The 23,648-nt window shown below is 42.7% G+C and overlaps 1 protein-coding gene across 25 annotated transcripts in view, besides 3 other annotated features; it reads left to right on the top strand.

Moving 5' to 3' along the window:
- Positions 1–23,648, top strand: part of CPEB3 (cytoplasmic polyadenylation element binding protein 3) — a 244,542-nt gene that overhangs the window by 50,253 nt on the left and 170,641 nt on the right. For 20 of the 25 annotated variants that reach the window (XM_047424810.1, XM_024447895.2, XM_011539517.3 and 17 more), the window contains one exon: positions 620–1,635. In XM_047424810.1, coding sequence (XP_047280766.1) covers positions 631–1,635 — 1,005 coding nt within the window. In that variant the 5' untranslated portion in view covers positions 620–630. Of the gene's footprint in view, positions 1–274; positions 396–619; positions 1,636–23,648 lie in introns of those variants that run through there. The other 5 variants (XM_047424813.1, XM_047424818.1, XM_047424808.1 and 2 more) reach the window with 1 other exon arrangement.
- Positions 164–333: a silencer, noted in NCBI's record as "silent region_2614". NCBI's record gives its function as "represses an Ori minimal core promoter by ATAC-STARR-seq in GM12878 lymphoblastoid cells {active_cell/tissue: GM12878}" and the evidence as "EXISTENCE:reporter gene assay evidence [ECO:0000049][PMID:35858748]".
- Positions 344–393: a silencer, noted in NCBI's record as "silent region_2613". NCBI's record gives its function as "represses an Ori minimal core promoter by ATAC-STARR-seq in GM12878 lymphoblastoid cells {active_cell/tissue: GM12878}" and the evidence as "EXISTENCE:reporter gene assay evidence [ECO:0000049][PMID:35858748]".
- Positions 1,154–1,293: a silencer, noted in NCBI's record as "silent region_2612". NCBI's record gives its function as "represses an Ori minimal core promoter by ATAC-STARR-seq in GM12878 lymphoblastoid cells {active_cell/tissue: GM12878}" and the evidence as "EXISTENCE:reporter gene assay evidence [ECO:0000049][PMID:35858748]".

Below are 23,648 nucleotides of genomic sequence, written 5' to 3'. Positions count from 1 at the left end.
CTAACAAATGCCAAGGATTCCTCCCTCGTGGTTCGCTGCAGCTAAATGAAACAATTACCAACGCAAGAAGGCAGTTTGCTAATCAAGAGGGCTAATACTGGTTTTTTTGTTTTGTTTTTTTAAAAAGTGTTCGAGCTGGGGAAGGGAGAAGAAAGGGTCGTGTGTGCGGTGTCTTTTTAACCTTGCTGAAGGACGCAGCAGTATTTATTGACGTATGCAAATAAGTGGGGGAGGGTGGTGCTTGGGAAAAAACAGGAACCAGAATCAGTTTCTCATTGCAGGGCGAACGCTCTGAGTTCCGGTGAAGGGAAAAGAGACGTGGCGAAATTGCTGTCTTTTCTGTCTTATAAGCACATCTCTCACTAATACAGAAAAGGAACCAAGACATCTGAAAGGTTGAAGACGCTCTCACAGTATTTTTAGAGACCTTGCTCGACACCTTCCCTATTCCCCACCCAACAGCCTGACCTGTTCTTCTAAATGGGAGATTATGGATTTGCATTGCAATTGGCTAGTAGCGGTGGCGATGGATTTTCGCAAGTGAAACACCCGCCCGCTTCAGCGAGGGACATTCATGATCACATTGACAATAACGCGTCTCTCTTTTTTCCCGTTTCAGCTGCGCAAACCATGCAGGATGATTTACTGATGGACAAAAGCAAAACCCAGCCCCAGCCCCAGCAGCAGCAGCGGCAGCAGCAGCAGCCCCAACCTGAGTCCAGCGTATCCGAAGCCCCGTCCACGCCCCTCTCCTCAGAGACCCCCAAGCCGGAGGAAAACAGCGCAGTGCCGGCCCTCAGCCCAGCCGCTGCCCCCCCGGCCCCCAACGGCCCGGACAAGATGCAGATGGAATCACCGCTCCTGCCAGGCTTGAGTTTCCATCAGCCTCCTCAGCAGCCGCCGCCGCCTCAGGAGCCCGCGGCACCGGGCGCGTCGCTGTCGCCGTCCTTCGGCAGCACCTGGTCCACGGGCACCACCAACGCGGTAGAGGACAGCTTCTTCCAGGGGATCACCCCAGTCAACGGGACCATGCTCTTCCAGAACTTCCCGCACCATGTCAACCCAGTCTTCGGAGGCACTTTCTCCCCGCAGATCGGCCTGGCGCAGACCCAGCACCACCAGCAGCCGCCGCCGCCTGCGCCCGCGCCGCAGCCGGCACAGCCAGCGCAGCCACCACAGGCGCAGCCCCCGCAGCAGCGCCGCTCACCCGCCAGCCCCAGCCAGGCGCCCTACGCGCAGAGGAGCGCCGCCGCGGCGTACGGCCACCAGCCCATCATGACCAGCAAGCCGTCCTCGTCTTCGGCGGTTGCAGCCGCTGCTGCCGCAGCCGCCGCCTCGTCGGCCTCGTCCAGCTGGAACACGCACCAAAGCGTGAATGCAGCCTGGAGCGCACCGTCCAACCCCTGGGGCGGCCTGCAGGCGGGCCGGGACCCTCGCCGGGCGGTCGGTGTGGGCGTGGGTGTGGGTGTCGGGGTGCCTTCCCCGCTCAACCCCATCTCGCCGCTCAAAAAGCCCTTCTCCAGCAACGTGATCGCGCCGCCCAAGTTCCCTCGCGCGGCCCCTCTCACTTCCAAGTCCTGGATGGAGGATAACGCTTTCCGGACCGATAATGGTAACAATCTGTTGCCATTTCAGGTAATACTCTGCTGCACCTACACACTCCTTCCCTCTGCCCCGCTCCTTTTGCCACTTCTCTGACTTTTAATCATCCACCCGCTTATATTTAAAAAGGGCAGCAATGTCCAGCTCCTCTTTCCCCTTCCGAAGCCTCCAGTTCTTTAGGGCTGTTCCATTATCAGAGGATGAGGTTGGGAGAACATTGTGATTACTGGAGGAATCGTATTCGTCCCTTCAGGGTAGAAGAAGCCTTTTTCTTTTAGTTTATTTTCTCCTTCATGGTGTTTGTACCTCTTATTTTGACTTCCTTTGACAAGTAAAGCTGCAAGTGTGTGGCAAGGTGCCGGCATAGTCCCAGGATGAGTAGGCTGAGATTCCTATCATTTTGAGTAGCTACACATTTCAGGTTATGCAATCCTGAGCTCAGGGTGCCGCCTGCAAGCGGTCCACACCCAAACCACCCTGACTTTACTCTTAAAGAGGTTAACAACCCTTGAGTGGTGCTATTTCAGACGGTTGCGTATGCTCAGTTAAACTAATGTGAACACATGTGTTTATGTCTCGCTAAGGTGCTAGAATCATTAATAACAATCAGCATATTGCCCCTGCTGGGAAAATTATGAGTGTGAGATCCTAATAAACACTCACTACTGTGTAAGGGAAGGAGGTGGAAGAGTGGAAATTCTAAGGGCAACCCTCTCCATGTTACCTAGAAGAAGGATTTTTTTTTTTTTTTTCGGAGGTAAGAGACAATAGGACGTGACCTTCAGAGCCATATTGCAATGGAGTCTATTTGCTAGCTAGCACTGAAATATTTAAAGCTGCAGTGTCCTTCATCAGTTGGGTTAAGAAAATACAGATCAATTACATCATTTGAAACTGGGCAAAGTGAAAGTCTTGCAACTTTAATGAAAAATGAGTCCTGTGTCTTGGTGTTAAATGCCAATGAAAAACTCAGGATGTGCCCCAGACAAAAAGGTTGAAATGAAGAGTGTCCTTATTTCTGTTCTTGCTTTCTGATCTAGTCCACAGCCATAGCAATTGGCAGTGTCCTGGGCATCTTGGGTTGGAAAGGCGTAGTGCGGGTGTGTGTTCACAGGCGGCTTTTGCTCCCAGGCAAACACTTATCCTTCACTTAGAAGTTGATTTGGCTGTAAGCTTCTAGGCTCAGTTAAAGAAAAAGGGGAGAGGGGAAGGCCTCCAACAAGACCCAATTTGGATGGTCAAGGAAATGAAGCAGAAATCCTTTGAGGAGTGCTTGGTAGAGCTGACAGTTTGAGAGAGGTATAGTGTCAGGTGCAGATGCAGTCTTCATCTCTTTACATTACAGATGTTTGGAGTGGCTCCCATTCATGAAGGAAGAGATGAGGTTATTGAGAAGGACATGACTCTCTAGGCTAGAGTAATGATTTTTAACTTTGATGACAGAGGATCTTCACAAGGAATTTTCACAAGGATCCTTCAGGAATGGACGATTTCAATATTAAGTTATATTTTTTTCCCATTCTAAAGTTTGTTTATTTTAATAAAATGAGATGTTGCAAGGTGGGATTCATTTCATAGAGAAAAGGAGGAATTTGCTTTCTGGAATTTATGTGCTTATTTTTGGAGGGGGTAGAGCAGGGAGGCTGCATTTGGTAGGAAAGGCCCTCTTTTTCTAACATTCCCTCTCTTTATTCTCATGCTCCGTACCTGAGTTCAGTCTTAGAGGATAACCTAAAATCTTATAGGGAGTTTTGGGAGCTGATAATATAGACAGATCTTGTTATCTTTTTCTGGGAGTTGACTCTGAATACAACTAGCTATTGGTGAATTATCTCCTGGCATGGGGATTAGGGAGAGATTAAATCCACATAGTTTCGTCAAACCTGATATTGACGAGGAGTATAGGGATTGCCAGTTGTTACACAGCAAACCATTCACCAATGATGCTAATAAGAGCCAAATGGACTGGATTCAGTATAGTCTCATCTTTCCATCCCTGGTGATGCTATTGGATAGGCAAAAATGGCCAAAAGATTTGTAGGAGGACAGATTTGATTGAAAATTGAGCATTATTTATTTGGCCTTGGGAAGAATTACATATACATTATGTCTCATTTCTTTTTCATAAAACAGAGCTTAGGGTTTTGGAGCAATTTTAGGATCAGAGGAGGAAGTTGGTTGTGCTTTGGCTGGGATATTAGACTTGATTTCTGTTGATAACCGTACCAAGTTTGTGTTAGAAACAAAGAACACCTGAGTCTTGTGTGCAGAATTTTGTGTATGTGCATTTATTGAAATAATTTTTCTAAAAAAGGAAGAAAATATCTTAAGTGGTTTCGATGATTTTTTCAAAATATTTATTCTGGCAAATGTGATTTTATTTAAATCAGAGTTTATTTTATAGAATAGCAACTTTATTTTTTATTTAACAGATTTTTGAGCTATTAATAAAAGAGTCTTTCTGCAGTGATCTACTCTAATGTATGTTAAAATTTTTAAAGAAACCCATTCTACCCTGCACTGCTTCTTTTTTGCCAGTTTCTGCCAACACAATAGATTTTGAGTAGCTTTACTTACATGGCTTATATTGCAAAAGCAATCACTGTATTTTATGTGTGTGTGTGTGTGTGTGACAATGTTTCACTTTTGTTGCTCAGGGTGGAGTGCAGTGGCATGATCTCGGCTCACTGCAACCTCTGCCTCCCGGTTTCAAGCAATTCTCCTGCCTCAGCCTCCCGAGTAGCTGGGATTACAGGCGTCCGCCACCACGCCCGGCTAATTTTTTATATTTTTAGTAGAAGCAGGGTTTCACCATATTGACCAGGCTGGTCTTGAACTCCTGACCTCAGGTGATCCACCTGCCTCGGCCTCCCAAAGTGCTGGGATTACAGGCATGAGCCACCATGCCCGGCCTAGCAATCACTGTATTTGAATGTTGTTTTACAAACTATAATACTTCTTTATTCTAATAAAGTTTATTGGTTTCTCTGGGTTTTGGTGGCTGCTTTCTTAGGGATTACTTTTATCTAAAAGTCACTTCATTTCTATAAATAGGGAGACTGAGATCCTGAGAGGTAGAGTGACTGAACTCAGGTCCTACAGTTCTAGCTAATTTTGTTGTATGTGTCCTTAACGTCCATGTAGTGCAGGTGCTGTCAGGTAGAATTCATTTTAAGTAAGATTCTCTTTGGACTCCATTCAGAGGGACTTAGTGAAGTTTTCTATTAGGCTAATGCATCTTGGTGATGTACCTCTCAGCAACAGAGCTCAAGAACAGAGAGGCACTCCACTGGGGGGAATTATATATGTGAATCTTTCTATATTTCTACAAGTCAAGGAAGCCTAGATATGTATTAGTTTGGTGCATAAGTAATTGTGGGTTTTACCATTATGGCAAAAAAGTAATGGCAAAACCCACAAATTACTTATGCATCAATTTAATAAAAGGACTAGAGCTATTTTCTTTATGTTGTAAATTTGGGTTTAAATAGCATTGCTGTCAAGAAAAGTTTAGGAGGGACTTTTGAGAGCACCTATTCTAGACTACTATGCTCATTTTACAGAGGATAAAATCAAAGTCCCAACATGTGAGGTGACGTACCCAGGTTCAGGTTGATAATTTCTGTCATAAGCAAGCTTTGACAGCAGATTGCCTGGATTTAAGTCTCCACTTTGCAAGTTATTGGCTTTGTAATCATAAACAAATTATATAAACGTGCTGGTTCTCAATTTCTTCACCTGTAAAATGGGAATAATATTAGTTTTTGGCCTTGTATGAGTTAAAATGTGAAACTAAATATAAAGTGCGTAGCACAGTGCCTGGCCCATAGTAAAGTATCCCATAAACGTAGGGTTATGATTATTCTTACTGTAATGGTGACCATAGGCTTTGCATGATCTTGTCATAATACGGATTACTGATTTTTTTTTTTTTGAGACAATGTCTCACCCTGTCACCCAGGCTGGAGTGCAGTGTGTTATGTTGGCTCACTGCAGCCTCCACCTCCCGGGTTCAAGTGATTCTCCTGCCTCAGCTTCCCAAGTAGCTGGAATTACAGGTGCCCGCCACCACACCTGGCTAATTTTTGTATTTTTAGTAGAGATGGAATTTCGCCCTATTAGTCAGGCTGGTCTTGAACTCCTGACCTCAAGTGATCTGCCTGCCTTGGCCTACCAAAGTGAATTGCCGATTTTTCATACAGTGCATTCTAAATATCCCCAAACTTCAGTGTAATGCCATTTGTTCTTTTTTCCTGTCTGATGGTACCTTCATGATCAGAGCCTTTGACCATTGTAGTAATGTGAGGATCCAGCATTTACCTATGGGCCAGGCCCTGTGCCAAGCACTTTACATATAGTTTCTCACTGGAACTCCTTTGAGATAGGAACTCCTTTGACATAGGAGGACTATTGTCATTCTTGCTTATTTTTTTGTTTTGTTTTTGTTTTTTCGGGGGATGGAGTCGTGCTCTGTCGCCCAGATTGGAATGCAGTGGCGTGATCTCGGCTCACTGCAAACTCTGCCTCCCCGGTTCAAGAGATTCTCCTGCCTCAGCCTCGTGAGTAGCTGGGATTACAGGTGCGTGCTACCATGCCCAGCTAATTTTTATATTTTTAGTAGAGACGGGGTTTACCATATTGGTCAGGCTGGTCTTGAACTCTTGACCTCGTGATCTGCCACCTCGCCCTCCCAAAGTGCTGGGATTACAGGCATGAGCCACTGTGCCCGGCCTATTATCCTTGTTATATTGACAAATAAATTGAGGTTCAGTGCATTTACACTGTTTGCTTAAGATCACAGCCAGTAATTGGCAAAGTTGCCTCCAGAGCCCATGGCTCCTACTCCCTTGACTATTCTGTCTCTAGGACATCGCTTAATAGTGCAGTGTAGATGTAAGAAGCTGGACTGAATCTGTACTTGACCCTATGAGATACCCTGGAAGCTGTGTTTTTAAAAAATTTTGTATTTGTAGAAATGCAGAAAGAAAAAAATACAGTGACTGTAAGTATGCCACCATGAAGATTCATCGGTTATAATTTTTTCTGTTTTTTACTTTACATATTTTACTTTACATATTTTTTAATATTATGAAATCAAAGTCCCAAAATAGGAAGTGACTTACCCAGGTTCTGGTTGATAATTTGTCACAGAAGCAGGCTTTAGCAGCAGATTGCCTGGATTCAAATTTAATTTGGAAAAAAAAATCAAATTATTCCATACTTTCTGTCTGTATCTCTGCCTTTATCCTTCTCCTTTTTTTTTTTTTTTTTTTGAGACAAAGTCTCACTCTGTTCCCCAAGCTGGAGTACAGTGGTATGATCTCGGCTTACTGCAACCTCCATCTCTGGGTTCAAGCGATTCTCCTGCCTCAGCCTCCCAAGTAGCTGGGACTACAGGCACGTGCCACCATGCCTGGCTGATTTTTGTATTTTTAATAGAGACGGGGTTTCACTATGTTGGCCAGGCTGGTCCTGAACTCCTGACTTTGGATCTGCCCGCATCTGCCTCCCAAAGTGCTGGGATTACCGGCATGAGCCACCGCACCCTGCGTATCCCTCTCCTTTTCCTTCTATTCCCAAGTTAAAGGTGATTGCAAGGAGTTTTATATTTTATGACATGTCTAGGTAATTATAACTTAGTATTAATTTTGCTGGTGGGTTATCAATAACTGAGGAAGAAGTTTCTTACATGAATTCATGGGAATACAAATGATATTAAAAACAAATATGCCTACTCATAATAAATTTTTAGGAAATACCAATATTTTTCAAGTAGTTTGTGTTCCTTTTCCTTTTTTTTTTCCAAGTAGTTTGTGTTCTGTCCATTTCCTTTTTTTTTTTTTTTTTAAAGACAGAATCTGTCGCCCAAGCTGGAGTGCAGTGGCATGATCTTGGCTCACTGCAACATCTGCCTTCCCTGTTCAAGCAATTCTCATTCCTCAACCTCCCTGGTAGCTGGGATTACAGGTGTGCACCACCATGCCCCACTAGTTTTTGTATTTTTAGTAGAGACAGGGTGACGGGGTTTCACCATGTTGGCTAGGCTAGTTTTGAACTCCTGACCTCGAGTTCTCTGCCAGCCTGGGCCTCCCAAAGTGCTGAGATTAGAGGTGTGAGCCACCGCATCTGGCCCCCACTTTCTTTTTTTTAAGACCATCTTTTCAGGAGGTAATATAAATTGTCTTGTTTGTGCTTGCTTTTGAATAAGGATAGTATGACCTAGATTTAAGACTCTTCTCTAGTTGGTTTCTTAACTACTATTTCAATGCAAAACCACTTTAAGGTCTACTCATCCCCACAAACTGTTTCAGAACCTGTTATGACATGGTTGATATGAATGCCAGCAAAACCACATTATCTATTTTCTATTTAAAAGAGGGATTGGTTAGGAAATATTAGGTTTTTGTGCTACTAGAAACGTTAATATAAAACTATATACTTCAAAATTGCATGTTGAAAAGTGGTTAGCCTTGTTTAAACTCTTTATGACCTTGTCGTGAGTTAGTACAAAAGAACCCTCTTAGAAATGTAATTTAGATATCCTCTGACAAAGAAACAAATTTCTACTTACATAGCTTTCTCTATTGGTTAGCCAATTTGATGTATTTTTTTTTTTTTTTTGAGATGGAGTTTCCCACTGTCACCCAGGCTGGAATGCAGTGGCACGGTCTCTGCTCACTGCAACCTCTGCCTCCCGGGTTCAAGTGATTCTCCTGCCTCAGCTTCCCGAGTAGCTGGGATTACAGGCGCCTGCCACCATGCCCGGCTAATTTTTTGTATTTTTGGTAGAGACGGGGTTTCACTATGTTGGCCAGGCTGGTCCTGAACTCCTGACCTTGTGATCCACCTGCCTCAGCCTTCCAAAGTGCTGGGATTACAGGTGTGAGCCACCATGTCTGGCCCAATTTGATGTATTTCAAGGGCTGTATAAGGTGTAATGCCATCCAGTTGGAACTGGTTTTCATTGCTAAGTTGATTTTTTATAGTGTTTTGATCTGCAGGTATCAAAAGATTATGCTTTGTTGCTCAGGCACGGTGGCTCACGCCTGTAATCCCAGCACTTTGGGAGGCCGAGGTGGGTGTATCACCTGAGGTCAGGAGTTCGAGACCAACCTGGCCAACATGGTGAAACCCTGTCTCTACTAAAAAACTACAAATATTAGCTGGGTGTGGTGGTGGGTGCCTGTAATCCCAGCTACTCGGGAGGTTGAGGCAGGAAAATTGCTTGAGCCTGGGAGCTGGAGGTTGCAGTGAGCTGAGATCATGCTATTGCCCTCCAGCCTGGATGACAAGAGTGAAACTCCCTCTCAAAAAAAAAAAAAAAATTATGCTTTGTTTACTGCAATATGAAAAGTTTGAGGCTGGGAGTGGTGGCTCACACCTATAATTCCAGCACTTTGGGAGGCTGAGGCAGATGGATCACCTGAGGTCAGGAGTTCGAGACCAGCCTGGCCAACCTGGTGAAACCCTGTCTCTACTAAAAATACAAAAATTTGCTGGGCGTGGTGGCGGGCTCTTGTAATTGCAGCTACTTGGGAGGCTGAGGCAGGAGAATCACTTGAACCCGGGAGGCGGAGGTTGCAGTGAGCCGAGATCGCGCCATTGCACTCCAGCCTGGGTGACAGAGCAAGACTCTGTCTTAAAAAGAAAAGAAAAGAAAAGAAAAGTTGATTAAGCTGTGTGGGTTTTACTGAGGAAAGAGAATTAGATGGAGGGGAGCATACAGTAGTGGACAACCTATGAAACTTGGAATAAGGAAGACATTGGTTAAAGCCTTGGCTCTGTCACTAGTGATGAGGTCAAGTCACTTATCCAGTGATTCTTTTTCTCAGTCTGCGAAAATGGAGGGATGGAGTGGGAGAGAGAGAGTGGACAGAAGGGAAAAGGAGGAGGTGGGAGGGGAGAGGGAGCCTAGCTTCAGGGTTTGGTTTGTGAGAGAATGTGTACAAAGTGTTCTGAAAATTATATACTGTTAGAGGAATACTGTTGTGGCTTTTGGATGTTTGCCTAACTTCTGTAATTGTAGTCAGAATTAGAGTTTAAAAGAGGAAATATTGTTGATATTCAGTAGTCCAAAGTTAAACACTAGCTGATGGCATGTAGTGGAGGGGGCTAGAAGGAGGCATGGAAGAACATCAAAAGGCACTTTGTATATTAGGGTGACTGCCTATTCTAGAAAGCTAGTCATGGTGGTCCGAAGACTAGGGAGTATATATAGACATGTCACACTAATGGTGGAGATGTGTGACTATCTGCTTGTGCTTATGGCTGACTCACCAATGTAAGTGTAAGGGTTTTCCTGGATCCATGAACATTTTAATTGGTGATGGGAGAAATGCTTAAACTCTTAATTTTCTGACTGCTATAAGGGTTGGGTTGATTTTGTTGGTTCTGGAGATATCAAAGGTCTAATTTGAATCTCCTTACCACCATTTCCCTGTAGGCCATGCCTGACCCTCTTTAGGGGCCAGTGTGGTTGTCAGAGTTAGAATTCAGGATGGAGCCTCAAGTTTTGATCTTGAGAGTTGAGGTAATATAGCCATAACTTATAGGAGGCTTTCCTGGGAAGGTTGCTGTACTTGCAGTAGAAACCAGCTTCACAAGGAATTTTCTACAGCTGGTCCTTATACCTTGTGGGTAGCTGCTCCTGTGAGGGTTCAAATGCTGCATTTCACCTATTATACTTCAGTTCTGCTACATTTAGTTTTCACACCCTTTAGTGTTCTTTGTGGTGCTGGGCATTTAAACTTCTTAATGTGAAACCATTCCAATATTTGCATTTTGTGAACTTGAAATAGGAAAGTACTAGTGAATTAAAGTACTACAGTAACTTAGCATCTTGGAATAAAGCCTACTTTTCTCTCCTAAGAAGCACTATTATATAATTCTCAGAAATAATAAATATTATTATATAAATGCTTGTTGGCAGGCCTCAGAGGAGAGAAACAGAAATGGGCACAAAACAGCCTTTATATTATTTGAAGTGATCATAGAATTAATACACACAAAGGGAAGGAAACATTGTGTACTGATTATGTATGCATAGGACTATTGTGTGGCCAAATAGCTTTATTCCTCAAGCATTCAAACTCATTTCAAGGTCAAGATCAAAAACAAGTAACTCCCTGTCTGCAGTAACTCAGTGCAACTAATTAAATGGTCAATGCCATGAAATAAATCAGTGCCTGGAAGTGCCTGACACTTAGTAGGTATTCATTAAATGAATGAATGAACATTTAAACCAAGTTATAATTTTGTCCTTTATCTTTACATGTGGTATATTTAACATTTTTGTGACGGATTCTCCATTCTAGTATTTCTTTTTTTTTTTTTAGACGGAGTTTCGCTCTCGTTGCCTAGGCTGGAGTGCAATGGTGCGATCTCGGCTCACCGCAACCTCCGCCTCCTGGGTTCAAGCAATTCTCCTGCCTCAGCCTCCCAAGTAGCTGGGATTATAGGCATGCGCCACCATGCCCTGCTAATTTTGTGTTATTTTAGTAGAGATGGGGTTTCTCCATGTTGGTCAGGCTGGTCCCGACCTCTCGACCTCAGGTGATCTCCCTGCCTTGGCCTCCCAAAGTGTTGGGATTATAGGCGTAAGCCACTGCGCCTGGCCCGTTCTAGTATTTCTATACAAGATATCTGTAGAATATGGAAACACAGGTGTATGTACATAATATTATAAAGGACATCTTCAATTTGTAAAAATATAAAATATATGTTTCCCAGACTTTATGGACACCCCATAGTTCTGGCCTGTGACTTCATATGTGTAGATTTGGTATGCCAAGAAGTAAGCAGAGTTCTTGCTTTGACATAAAAGGTTTATGACAGCCAATAAATGGGAACACTAGCTTATATCTTAAGAGTTAGATTTTTCTTTATCGCTTCATCATTGATCAACTCATTCTTTTGGAGTTAATTTATCTTGTTAATGGTGATTTGGTTTGTTTCTGACTTGTCATGTCGAGTTATTAACAATAGAACTGACTAGAATGAGAGTCAGGATAATTTTGACAATAACACTTAGAAATATTAAGGAGAAGGCTGGGTGTGGCTGCTGAAGACTGTATTTGTAGCACTTTGCGGGGCCAAGGTGGGAGGACTGCTTGAGCCCAGGTGTTCGAAACCAGCTTGGGCAACATAGTGAGACCCTGTCTCTATAAAAAAATTAAAAATTTTTTAAAATTAGCTGGGCCTGATGTCATATGCTTGTAGTTCTAGCTACTCAGGAGGCTGAGGCAGGAGGATTGCTTGAGCCCAGGAGTTTGAGGTTATAGTGAGCCATGATTGTGCCACTGCATTCCAGCCTAGGTGACAGAGTGAGACCCTGTCTCTAAAAAAATTAAAATATTTTTTAAAAAATTGGCTGGGTGAGGTGGCTCACGTCTGTAATCCCAGCACTTTGGGAGGCCAAGGTGGGCGGATCACGAGGTCAGGAGTTCAAGACCAGCCTGACCAACATGATGAAACCCCGTCTCTACTAAAAATACAAAAATTAGCCAGGCATGGTGGCATGCACCTGTAATCCCAGCTACTCAGGAGGCTGAGGCAGGAGAATTGCTTGAACCCAGGAGGTGGAGGTTGCAGTGAGCCGAGATTGCACCACTGCACTCCAGCCTGGGCAACAGAGCGAGCCACTGTCTCAAAAAAAAAAAAATGTATATATATATATAAATTCGACAAAGAACAGGTTATATAGTATGCCCATTCAGGTAGTCATTAATTCCAGGCATGTGAGATTAGAAAGCAGAGATATAAAAGGCAAATAATTTTCTACCTTAAAGATGCGGTAGGGTTTTTGAGGGCTGATTAAGGATGGGAGGGAATATTTCAGAGGAAACATCTTAGTGATCTGACAATCGAACCCCCTACTCAAACTCCAGGAGTCGTAGTTCTTAGGTTTCAGATAAGCAGCAACTAAAGGAGACGAGAGGTAAATGTATCTAGAAGCACCTCTCTTTTGCAATCTGGAATGGAAAATTTATTTTCCTTTTTTGGACCAGAGAAATATAACCTAGATAAGCAGAGAATTAAAAATAGTGAAAACCAGTAAAGTTTATGAGTTTATGGAGGAAAGGCTGAGAGATAATGTTTGGATCATTTGTTATAAATCTGTTTCTGTGTTTGCATTTGATTTTGTGGGTAGACTGTTCAACTCTTTGCCACATCATTATTTAAAGCAATTATAGGCTGGGTGCAGTGGCTCACGCATGTAATCTCAGCACTTTGGGAGGCCAAGATGGGCAGATCACCTGAGGTCAGGAGTTTGAGACCAGGCTGGCAAACATGGTGAGAGCCTGTCTCTACTAAAAATACAAAAAATTAGCCAGGTGTGGTGGTGCACGTCTGTAGTCCCAGCTACTCAGAGGCTAAGGCAGGAGAATAGCTTGAATCCGGGAGGTGGAGGTTGCAGTGAGCTAAGATTGCCCCACTGTATCCAGCCTGGGCGACAGAGTGAGATTTCATCTCAAAAAAGAAAAAAATAGGCCGGGCGCGGTGGCTCACGCCTGTAATCCCAGCACTTTGGGAGGCCAAGGCGGGTGGATCACGAGGTCAGGAGATCGAGACCATCCTGGCTAACACAGTGAAACCCCGTCTCTACTAAAAATACAAAAAATTAGCCGGGCGAGGTAGCGGGCACCTGTAGTCCCAGCTACTCGGGAGGCTGAGGCAGGAGAATGGCGTGAACCCCGGGGGGCGGAGCCTGCAGTGAGCCGAGATCGCGCCACTGCACTCCAGCCTGGGCGACAGGGAGACTCCGTCTCAAAAAAAAAAAAAGAAAAAAATAAAATAAGTAAATAAAGATGTTGTAACCAGTAGTAGAATCCTGAGGTCAGATAAACAGTTAAGAAGGTTGGCATTAGGTAGTATTTTTGTTACCCATATAGCTATTAAGGAATTCCCTGATCAAAGGGATGGGATTTACATTGTTAAGTTTCTTTTGGCACCTGTGTTCAAAATCATAATCCATGTGCTCCAGCTTTTGGGTGTTGTATTATTTTGATGTCCTCCTCTAAATAGATACTACTAACACAAATATAGGGGACCAGAATGCCAGCACTGGCATCATACTTTCCACATAAATAATTTTATGTAATCCTTACACGTTCTTGTGAATTAGGGATTATTATCCTATTTGAGACTCAGAGAATATTACCTAACTGGTAGTAAGAACTCTCCTCCGCTCTCCCTACCTCAGACCACAGAGGTAACCAAGAGGGGAGTGCAGTCTCCCTGACCTTTTGTTTTGGAATCTCACAAACACACAGCACTCTAGAGGAGGGGCCTATTAGTTTTCATTTTATAAAAATAGGACAAAGTGCCCATACTGTGCAACAACCTTGCTTTTCAGATGAACAAAGTATTATTTATGCTTCCTTTCTGTGCATATACCATATACAGATTTTGACAAAATTGGGGCTCAGTCAGGAGGCGCTGCAGTTCTGAAGGGGGAGGGGGCGGACATCTGGGTTCGCTCCCCCCTCCCTGTTCCCTCCATCCCTTCCCCTCCTTCCAGGCCCCCACCCCCACAGGCCCCTTCTCCCAGCTCCTGGCCCCTCCTGCAGGTCTCCTCCCTGAGCCCCCACTCTGCCCAGGTCAGCCCTCTCTCTTGCCCCTCCCTCAATATGCCTTTGATGTTCTGTTCTTTCCCCACATCTTCCCTAATTCCTCTTATGCTACATTGTCTTACAGTATTCATCACTCTCTGTAATGAGCTGGTTTATTTTGTTTTGTTCTTCCACAGTAGAATGTAGGCTCCACAAGGGCAAGGACCTTTTCACTGAAGTGTCTCCAGGGGCTGTGATAGTACCAGGGATATTTTGGGCACATGGTAAATATTTTTTGAGTGTGTTTATGATCTACATTTACAAATGACTGATTAGGCATTTATTGGTCATTTACATGTAGCTACCAGTGTGAGTAATTAAAACGTTTAGCTGGTTTCTACCAGGTGTAAGGCTGATAGGAATTAAAGTTGAACCATACATTTCCCGTTTTAGGACAACTCCTTGACAAACATGTATTAAAATATAGAATGATAAGGTCTAAAACAAGAGTGTGTTGTGTGCAACAAAGAAGAGTTTGTACTTGAATCAGACAAAGGAATGATTAAATTTGTGTGTGGTTGGGAAGCCTCTAGGAAAGTCTTCAATAGTTTAAGATATTTTCGGAGTTTTTCCGATTTTGAAAGTAATACCTGTTAACTATTTAAAACTTGAGAGGGAAAAAACACAGATAAAAAACCCCAGTTGCCTGTAATTATTATTATTTTTTTTTTGAGATGGAGCCTCGCTCCGTTGCCCAGGCTGGAGTGCATTGGTGCAATCTCGGCTCACTGCAACCTCCGCCTCCTGGGTTCAAGCAATTCTCCTGCCTCAGCCTCCTGAGTAGCTTGGATTACAGGTGCTTGCCACCACGCCCGGCTAATTTTTGTATTTTCAGTAGGGATTGGATTTCACCATGTAGGTCAGGCTGGTCTCCAACTCCTGACCTCGTGATCTGCCTGCCTCGGCCTCCCAAAGTGCTGGGATTACAGGCGTGAGCCACTGCACCCGGCCAATTGCCCATAATTCTATTAATCAGATTCAAATACTCTTAATGTTTTGGTATATTTTCTGTTAATTATTTCTTTTTTGTGTCTGTGTAATGTAATTTACATAGTGGAGATCATTCTGTTTATGCAGTTTTACAGTTTTATAGCCATATTTTTAACATTTTATATAATTTATAAACATTTTGATGATTGCATAATATTCCATTATGGGAATCCATTATAACAAAATGTTAACAATCCATTATACAAAATGTTTTCATATTTGGGGGATTTAGATAGATTGTTTTGTTGTTTTTTTTGTTTTGTTTTGTTTCATTTGAGATGGAGTCTTGCATTGTTGCCCAGGCTGGACTCCAACTGGGTTCAAGAGATCCTCCCACCTCAGCCTTTCAAGTAGCTGGGACTATAAGCATGTGCTACCATACTCAGCTGTTTTCAGTTTTCGAATATTGAACATGATGCTGTCATGAACATCGTTGGGCATCATAATACTTTATTTAGAGGTGAGTGGGCAGAGTTTGACAGGCAGATCAGAAAATGGGGTAGGAGGCTGGGCGCGGTGGCTCACGCCTGTAATCCCAGCACTTTGGGAGGCTGAGGTGGGCAGATCACGAGGTCAAGAGATTGAGGCCATCCTGGCCAACATTGTGCAACCCCATCTCTACTAAAAATACAAAAATTAGCTGGGTGTGGTGGCACACACCTGTAGTCCCAGCTACTCAGGAGGGTAAGGCAGGAGAATTGCTTGAACCCAGGAGGTGGAGGTTGCAGTGAGCCGAGATTGCATCATTGCATTCCAGCCTGGCGACAGAGTGTGACTCCACCTCAAAAAATAAAAAAAAAAAAGAAAGAAAATGGGGTAGGGTTCATTTTTTTAAATTTATATATAATATGTAAATTATTAAATATATAAAATATATATATTTTTAAATTTATATATATATAAAGTTATATATATATAGTTTTTTTTAAGAAGTCAGGTGGTCTTGCTCTGTCACTCAGGCCAGAGCACAGTGGCATGATCATAGCTCACTGCAACCTCAGACCCCTGGACTCAAGCGATCCTCCTGCCTCAGCCTTCCTGGTAGCTAGGACTACAGGCGCATACCACCATGCCCAGCTAATTTTTAAATTTTTTGTAGAGACAGGATCTTGAACTCCTGGGCTCAAGCAATCCTTTCACCTCAGCCTCGCAAAGTGCTGGGATTACAGGCATGAGACACCATGCTCAGCCAGGGTTGTTGTTGTTGTTTTTTTTTCAGCAGAGGGACTAGGTTGTGTACAGGCAAGAAACAACATGGTGTGCTGAGAGAGCAAGAGATTTAGGGTAGGGGTTAGGCAAGAGAGAGATGAGGCTGGAGAAGTAGATAAGTGCCACCAGATCACCAAGAGTATTCTAGCATTCTGTGTCTTCAGCTTTCTCAAGTGAGGAACATTGAAGGATTTTTAAGCTGAGAAACATAGCTATTGTAAGGCTTTTTTAAGTTGGTGAGTGAAGTGATCACATTTTTGTTTTAGAATGATTACTCTAGGATATCTTTGTCAGGAACCAAACTCGGGAAACCAGTTAACGTGGGAGAACCTAAAGTGATTAAAAGGAAGGGACAGATTTAAGCAACAATCAGGGGCACGGTGGCTCACGCCTGTAATCCCAGCACTTTGGGAGGCTGTGGTGGGTGGAACACTTGAGGTCAGGAATTTGAGACCAGCTTGGCCAACATGGTGAAACCCCATCTCTACTAAAAATACAAAATTAGGCTAGGCATGGTGGTTTACACCTGTAATCCCAGCACTTTGGGAGGCCAAGGTGGATGGATCACAAGGTCAGGAGTTGGAGACCAACCTGGCCAAAGAGACCAACCTAGCCAACATGGTGAAACCCCGTCTCTACTAAAAATACAAAAATTAGCCGGGTGTGGTGGCAGGCGCCTGTAATCCCAGCTACTCAGGAGGCTGAGGCAGGAGAATTGCTTGAATCCGGGAGTTGGAGGTTGCAGTGAGCCGAGATCACATCATTGCACTCCAGCCTGGGCGAGAGAGTGAGACTCTGACTCAAAAAAAAAAAAAAAAATTACAAAAATTAACCAGGCGTGGTGACAGGTGCCTGTAATCCCAGCTGCTTGAGGGGCTGAGGCAGGAGAATAGCTTGAACCCAGAAGGCGGAGGTTGCGGTGATCCGAGATTGTGCCATTGCACTCCAGCCTGCGTGACAGCGAGACTCTGTCTCAAAAAAAAAAAAAAAAAAAAAAAAAAGAAATAATTAGGAGCTCACCTGGAAGGACTTGGTGATTACTTGCATGTAGGAAATAAAAGAGAAGGAGGAGTCTAGAATGACTGCCAGGTTTTTGGTTTAGGCAGCTGGGGAAAATCATTTAGAGGTGGAAATGGTTAATAGTGGCAGATTAGAATTTTCATGACTCGTAAATCAGGTGGGTTTTAGAGTGGAGGAATTTTAGAAAGGAAAGCCATGTGTTGGGTATATTTGAACAAGTGATTTGACATTTCTTACCCACCCATGCTTTTGTGTGATTCCTAATGTGTGGAAAGGAAAACCTTATTAGGATAGATTACTTTGTGGACTACTTATTAGAACACTACATCTTAGAGAAGGAACAACTACCATTCTAAGTCAAGAGCTTTTTCTGACTCTAGCCTGATTTTCCTAAATTGTACCCTGAGAATTAGAGGATGTATTAGTTGATTAGTCATGTTGTTTGTGGGTTATAGCCTGGCTTTGCAAAGGACAGTAAGGAATTCCTAACCAATTAATCATGTGGGAGGATTATACGCAATAAAAGAAATGAAACCTGCCATCCTTTTATTTAAGTTGAATAAAATCACTGATAAATCAGTGCATGTTATTATATTAGCCAGTCTGAGATATCATTAATAAGGTCTTAGCAAAGTTGAAATTAGACCTTATGGAATTTAGTTCTGCTGTTCTAATACAAGGCATAGTTTTCTAAATGGGTATAAAGGTGATGAAATGCTTTGCAGCTTGGGGTGTGTAGAGTCATAGGTTGATGAGCTTTGAGGCAGAGGTGGGTAAAAGGGTACAGGAGCCATCAGAACTGCATTTTATGTCTCCATTTGTATTTCCAGGGAGAGAAGTGAGCTGTAACATTCATTAAATTTTCAAAGGGGTCCATAACTTAAAAATGGTTAAGAATTACAGATACAGAGTAAAAGCACTGCTACATGGCACCCAACAACATGGCACCCAATGCAAAGTTTTAAGATTTTAAAACATAGACATCTCTTAAAATTTCTCTTTTTCCCTCTTCAGAGCTGAGAGAATTCCTGCTGAACTTTGATAACGTTTTGAATAAATGAAACCTGATTGCTGTTGTATCTAGCTTTTTCTAAATTCAAATCTAGCAAATTCAAATTGCTTTTCATCAAATAATTTTTTGGCATTCATTTCATTGGTTTGCATATATTTAAGTCACATAATTACAATAATACTGACATTAAAAAGGTTTAGAACTGAGTGCAGTGGCTCATACCTGTAATCCCAGCACTTTGGGAGGCTGAGGTGGGTGGATTGCTTGAACTCGGTAGTTCGAGACCAGCCTGGGCAACATAAGAAGATCCCATCTCTATGAAAAATTAAAAAAAAAAAAAAAGAGGTTTGGAGACAAACCTTTACCATCTCTAGGTAAGCTTGCAATTCATCTGTTGGACAGAAATTTATGGTCTTATTGGTCACGGCTGTTGAATGTGCTGTGGATATTTTTTATAGGGAAGATAAAACACAGAGATTAATCTGGAAAGTCAGGTAAGTGAACGTCTTCGATGGGGTAATTTATAAATAATAGAAATTTTAATACTTCTCACAATTATAGAGGCTAGAAAGTCCAAGATAAAGGCACTAGCTGATTCATTGTCTGGTAAAGGCTCGTTCTCTGCTTCATGAATGGTGCCTCTTTCTGTGTCCTCACATGGCAGAAGGGGCAAACACACACCCTTCAATCAATGTCTCTCTCTCTCTCTCCCTCTTTTAAGAGATGGGGTCTCATTGTACTGCCCATTCTGGACTTGAACTCCTGGGCTCAAGCTATCCTCCTGCCTCAGCCTTCTGTGTAGCTGGGACTACAAGCCTCTCTTTCTTATAAAAGCTCTAACCCCATTAATGAGGGCAGAGCCTCCATGACTTAATTACTTCCTCGAAGGCCCCACCTCTTAATACTATCACAATGGGGAGTAAATTTCAACATGTGCATTTTGGGGGTATACCACATTCAGACCACAGCAGCAAAGCTTCAGCTGTAGTAGATGCTTATTATATATTTGAATAAATAAATGAATTTGAGAGTTTTTATTTTTTTGAGATGGAGTCTTGCTCTGTTGTCCAGGCTGGAGTGCACTGGCGTGATCTCGTCTCACTGCAGGCTTTGCCTCTCGGGCTCAAGAGATTCTCCTGTCTCAGCCTCCCGAGTAGCTGGGATTACAGGCACCTGCCACCATGCCCAGCTATTTTTTGTATTTTTAGTACAGATGGGGTTTCATCATATTGTCCAGGGTGGTCTCGAACTCCTGACCTCAAGTGATCCACCTGCCATGGCCTCCCAAAATGCTGGGATTACAGGCACAAGTCACCACACCTGGCCTGAAAGTTTTGATTCAAGAGTGAGATGTTGTTACATTTCTGGTACAGGAGTTATAACTCAGAAATATTAACTTGACAGGTATTGCTGTTTGTTCAAATGACCTCCTCTCTTTAGGGGAACATTTCTACTCTGCATTCACTTATTTGGTGGTGTTATGACCTAAGGTCTGTTCCTACTATTGTAACCTAATGAAAGGAGTGGAAAATAGAGCTGGGGAAAGTAGTAGGAGTTGGTGATTTCTGGAGCAGAGGGGCATCTGTGAGAGGCCTAGTTCCTGGGTCTCACTGGTAGACTTTCAACTCAGAGAAGCATGCTAGACTTGTAGATTATGTACGGTTTTCTGTGTCTTTGTTTAGCTTTGTAACCAATTATCTACTACTTACAGGCTAGAATGGAAACCTAACCATCATCTGTTACTTTGTTTCTATTGGTAAACAGCCAGTTTAACAAAAGAGCATTTCGGAATGCAATTTGTTTAAGATGTTTAACATCAAGGCCTGGTAAGAACAATTGACTAGACTTTTGCCAGCTCTAAACTCTTTTTCAGCATGATGGTCTATGTATATGTAAATGAAAACAAAAGGATCCTGTCTTGTTTACTTGTTTTGGAAGGAGGTTTTTTTTTTTTTTTAACATGGCAGTTTAAGGTGTAGGTTTACCAGGTACTTCATTGCCATAGTGCTCATTTAAAAGGAAAAAAGTTATCTGGGTGGGATGGGGGTGGGGTGGGGAAGGCTTTACTATTAATGCCATCTATGGAATGGCATTATCAAAATAGTTGAATCTAGTTAAAAATCGTTGGCTCTTATGCTGCAGAAACACAATCTAAGTAATTTCAATGATTTTACAATGCTGATGAAACATTATTTTGAATATTTGCCAAATTAAACTTTGTGTTAATTTTAGACAGAACAAAGACAGATTAATTGTGCTAATACTTCAGGTGGTTACAAACTAAGACTTTTAGTGAATGGAAAGTTTTAAATTTTACTTTCATACGCATTACAAATTTAACATTTTAGAAGATTTGGGGCTGGGTGGGAGATTGATTTTTTTTTTTGAGACGGAATCTTTATTGCCTAGTCTGGAGTGCAGTGGCCCAATCTCCGCTCACCGCAACCTCCACCTCCTGGGTTCAAACATTTCTGGCTCAGCCTCCGGAGTAGCTGGGACGACAGGCATGCGCCACCACACTTGGCTAATTTTTGTATTTTTAGCAGAGATGGGGTTTTGCCACATTGGCCAGGCTGGTATCGAACTCCTGACCTCAGGTGATCTGCCCACTTCAGCCTCCCAAAGTGTTGGGATTACAGGCGTGAGCCACCATGCCCGGCCTGGAGATTGACTTTTATCATATTTTGATCTAGAATTTCTCAACATTTCAAAGATATGAGCTCATCAGAAGGTAATAAAATTATTTAGTTAACATTTTAGAGCTTACTGCCTGTTTTCTGCTTATTTGCCAGTGTAGATGATTCATTTTACCTATTAACTCTGGTGTGATCTAGAATATGAAATGTTATTCCAGAGTAGCTATTTTAAGGTAGGTGAATCATGCAGGTATAACACAAGGTTTTCATTTTAAAATGTAACGGGATATCTGATATTCTGCGTTAGGCTGAGATTCGTTATATGTGAAAAGTAGAAAACAGCTTTTAGGAAATTATAGCTTAAGGTCAAAAATTCAAGGCCTGTGGTTAGGATTAAAGGCAGAAAAATCTCTTGATAGTGAATTTATTCCTTCACATTGTGAGGTATAATGGAAGGTTGAAGCATACAAGGGGGTTGAGGTGACATATTCTGTTAGTGGGACATAAATAATAGAGAATGTATTGAATACTGAGACATCAAAGGACACTGAAAGACAGTGAAGATTTCAGCAAAGAGGACAAAGCTGGGTAAAAGGATGCTTCAGCTTTTGTTACAATAATTAAATATTTAAAAGGGCAGCCATTTTATACAGTCCAAGAAGTTAAGCAATTGCCCATTTTATATTCCAGTTTTATTCAAGCAAGCCATAGGCAAGCAAGCTGATATTAGGAATTTATATTAAGAATTTTCTTCTAGGGGTGTCATAAGCAAGTTCAAAACCGAATCTTTTAATCTCTTGGGGCATGATCATAATATTCATGATGCCCCGAAGACACTTCGTTTGTTCTAAACCATCAAAGAAAGTGTGTTCAACATAATTTGCATTGCACATATTATTAATAATCTGGACTGATGGCTTTTTACAGTAGTCAGTATTATAAAAAGATATATAGAAAAGTTATGCACTATAGGTCTATGTTCACCTGAGCCTTAGGAAGTCGAGGCTGCAGCGAGCTGTGATCATACCACTGCGCTCCAGCCTGGGTGGCAGATTTGAGACCCTGTCTGAAAAGAGAAAAAAAAAAAGAAAAGGTGGGGAAGTGGAACTGCTGTGAGGTCAGGACCTGGAGTGAATGAGAGCATCTCTTCATGCTATAGAGCACCCTATGACAATCTCTATTGTTCTTACTCTATAGGTTTCACAAAAGGTCTTTGTTTGACAGTTTATGTTGGCCTACTGTGGGTAGTTCACTTGTGGGTAGGCTGGAGAACAGGATCTATGCTTGTAATGGTTTTCATTAAAACACAGACCCATGTCTCAATTTTTTATATACCTAGGCATACACATATGCACATATATCCATGCATCCTGTAAGATTGAGTAGGAGACATTTTCAATTGGCCATGTAATGGCAAAGTCGTATCAGTGATCTAAAAGTCAAAATTTCTCTTTGATTTTGTTTTTGGTGTTTGTTTGTCTGTTTGTTTGTTTTGAGATGGAATCTTGCTCTGTAGCACAGGCTGGAGTGCAGTGGCGCGATCTCAGCTCACTGCGACCTCCACCTCCCAGGTTCAGGCGATTCTCCTGCCTTAGCTTCCCAAGTAGCTGGGATTACAGGTGTGTGCCGCCACTCTGGGCTAATTTTTGTATTTTTAGTAGAGACGAGGTTTCACCATGTTGGTCAGGCTGGTCTCAAACTCCTGACCTCGTGATCTGCCCACCTCGGCCTCCCAAAGTGCTGGGATTACAGGTGTGAGCCACTGTGCCCGGCCTTGTTGTTGTTTTTTGAGATAGGGTCTCACTCTTTTACCCAGGCTGCAGCGTACTGATGTGTAATCACAGCTCAGTGAAGCCTTGCCTTCTTGGGATCAGGCGATCCTCCCATCTCAGCCTCCTGTGTAGCTAGGACTACAGGTGTGGACCATCATGCCCAGATAATTTTTTGTAGAAACGGGGTTTTGCCATGTTGGCCAGGCTGGTCTTGAACTCCTGGGCTCAAGCTGTTTTACTGCCTCAGTTTCACAAAGTCCTGGAATTACAGGCCTGACCTCTTTGATTTTGAAATACTGTTTTGTCAGTGGTCATTTATAATCATTTGTTGTTAAAATGAATTTATTTTTTTTTTATTATTTTTTTGAGGCGCAGTTTTGCGCTTGTTGCCCAGGCTGGAGTGCAATGGCACGATCTTGGCTCACCGCAACCTGTGCCTCCCAGGTTCAAGTGATTCTCCTGCCTCAGCCTCCTGAGTAGCTGGGATTACAGGCATGTGCCACCACGCCCAGCTAATTTTTGTATTTTTAGTAGAGACGGGGTTCCTCCATGTTGGTCATGCTGGTCTCGAACTCCTGACCTCAGGTGATCCACCCACCTTGGCCTCCCAAAGTGTTGGGATTACAGGCATGAGCCACCACGCCCAGCTTGTTAATATGAATTTAATTTGATTTCTTGAGTATTCATTGATGGTAGAGACTTGAAAAGCATGCTGGGAGTCAAAGTTGCAGAATTTATTGTGAATCATCATATTGATAAATCAATTAAATATGTTAAATTTAGATGCCACCATAGT

The sequence above is a fragment of the Homo sapiens genome, chromosome 10 (assembly GCF_000001405.40).
Source record: "Homo sapiens chromosome 10, GRCh38.p14 Primary Assembly".
Classification (NCBI taxonomy): Eukaryota; Metazoa; Chordata; class Mammalia; order Primates; family Hominidae; genus Homo; species Homo sapiens.
The sequence above is the reverse complement of the archived record's forward strand: the minus strand, read 5'-3'. Positions and strand labels throughout refer to the sequence as shown.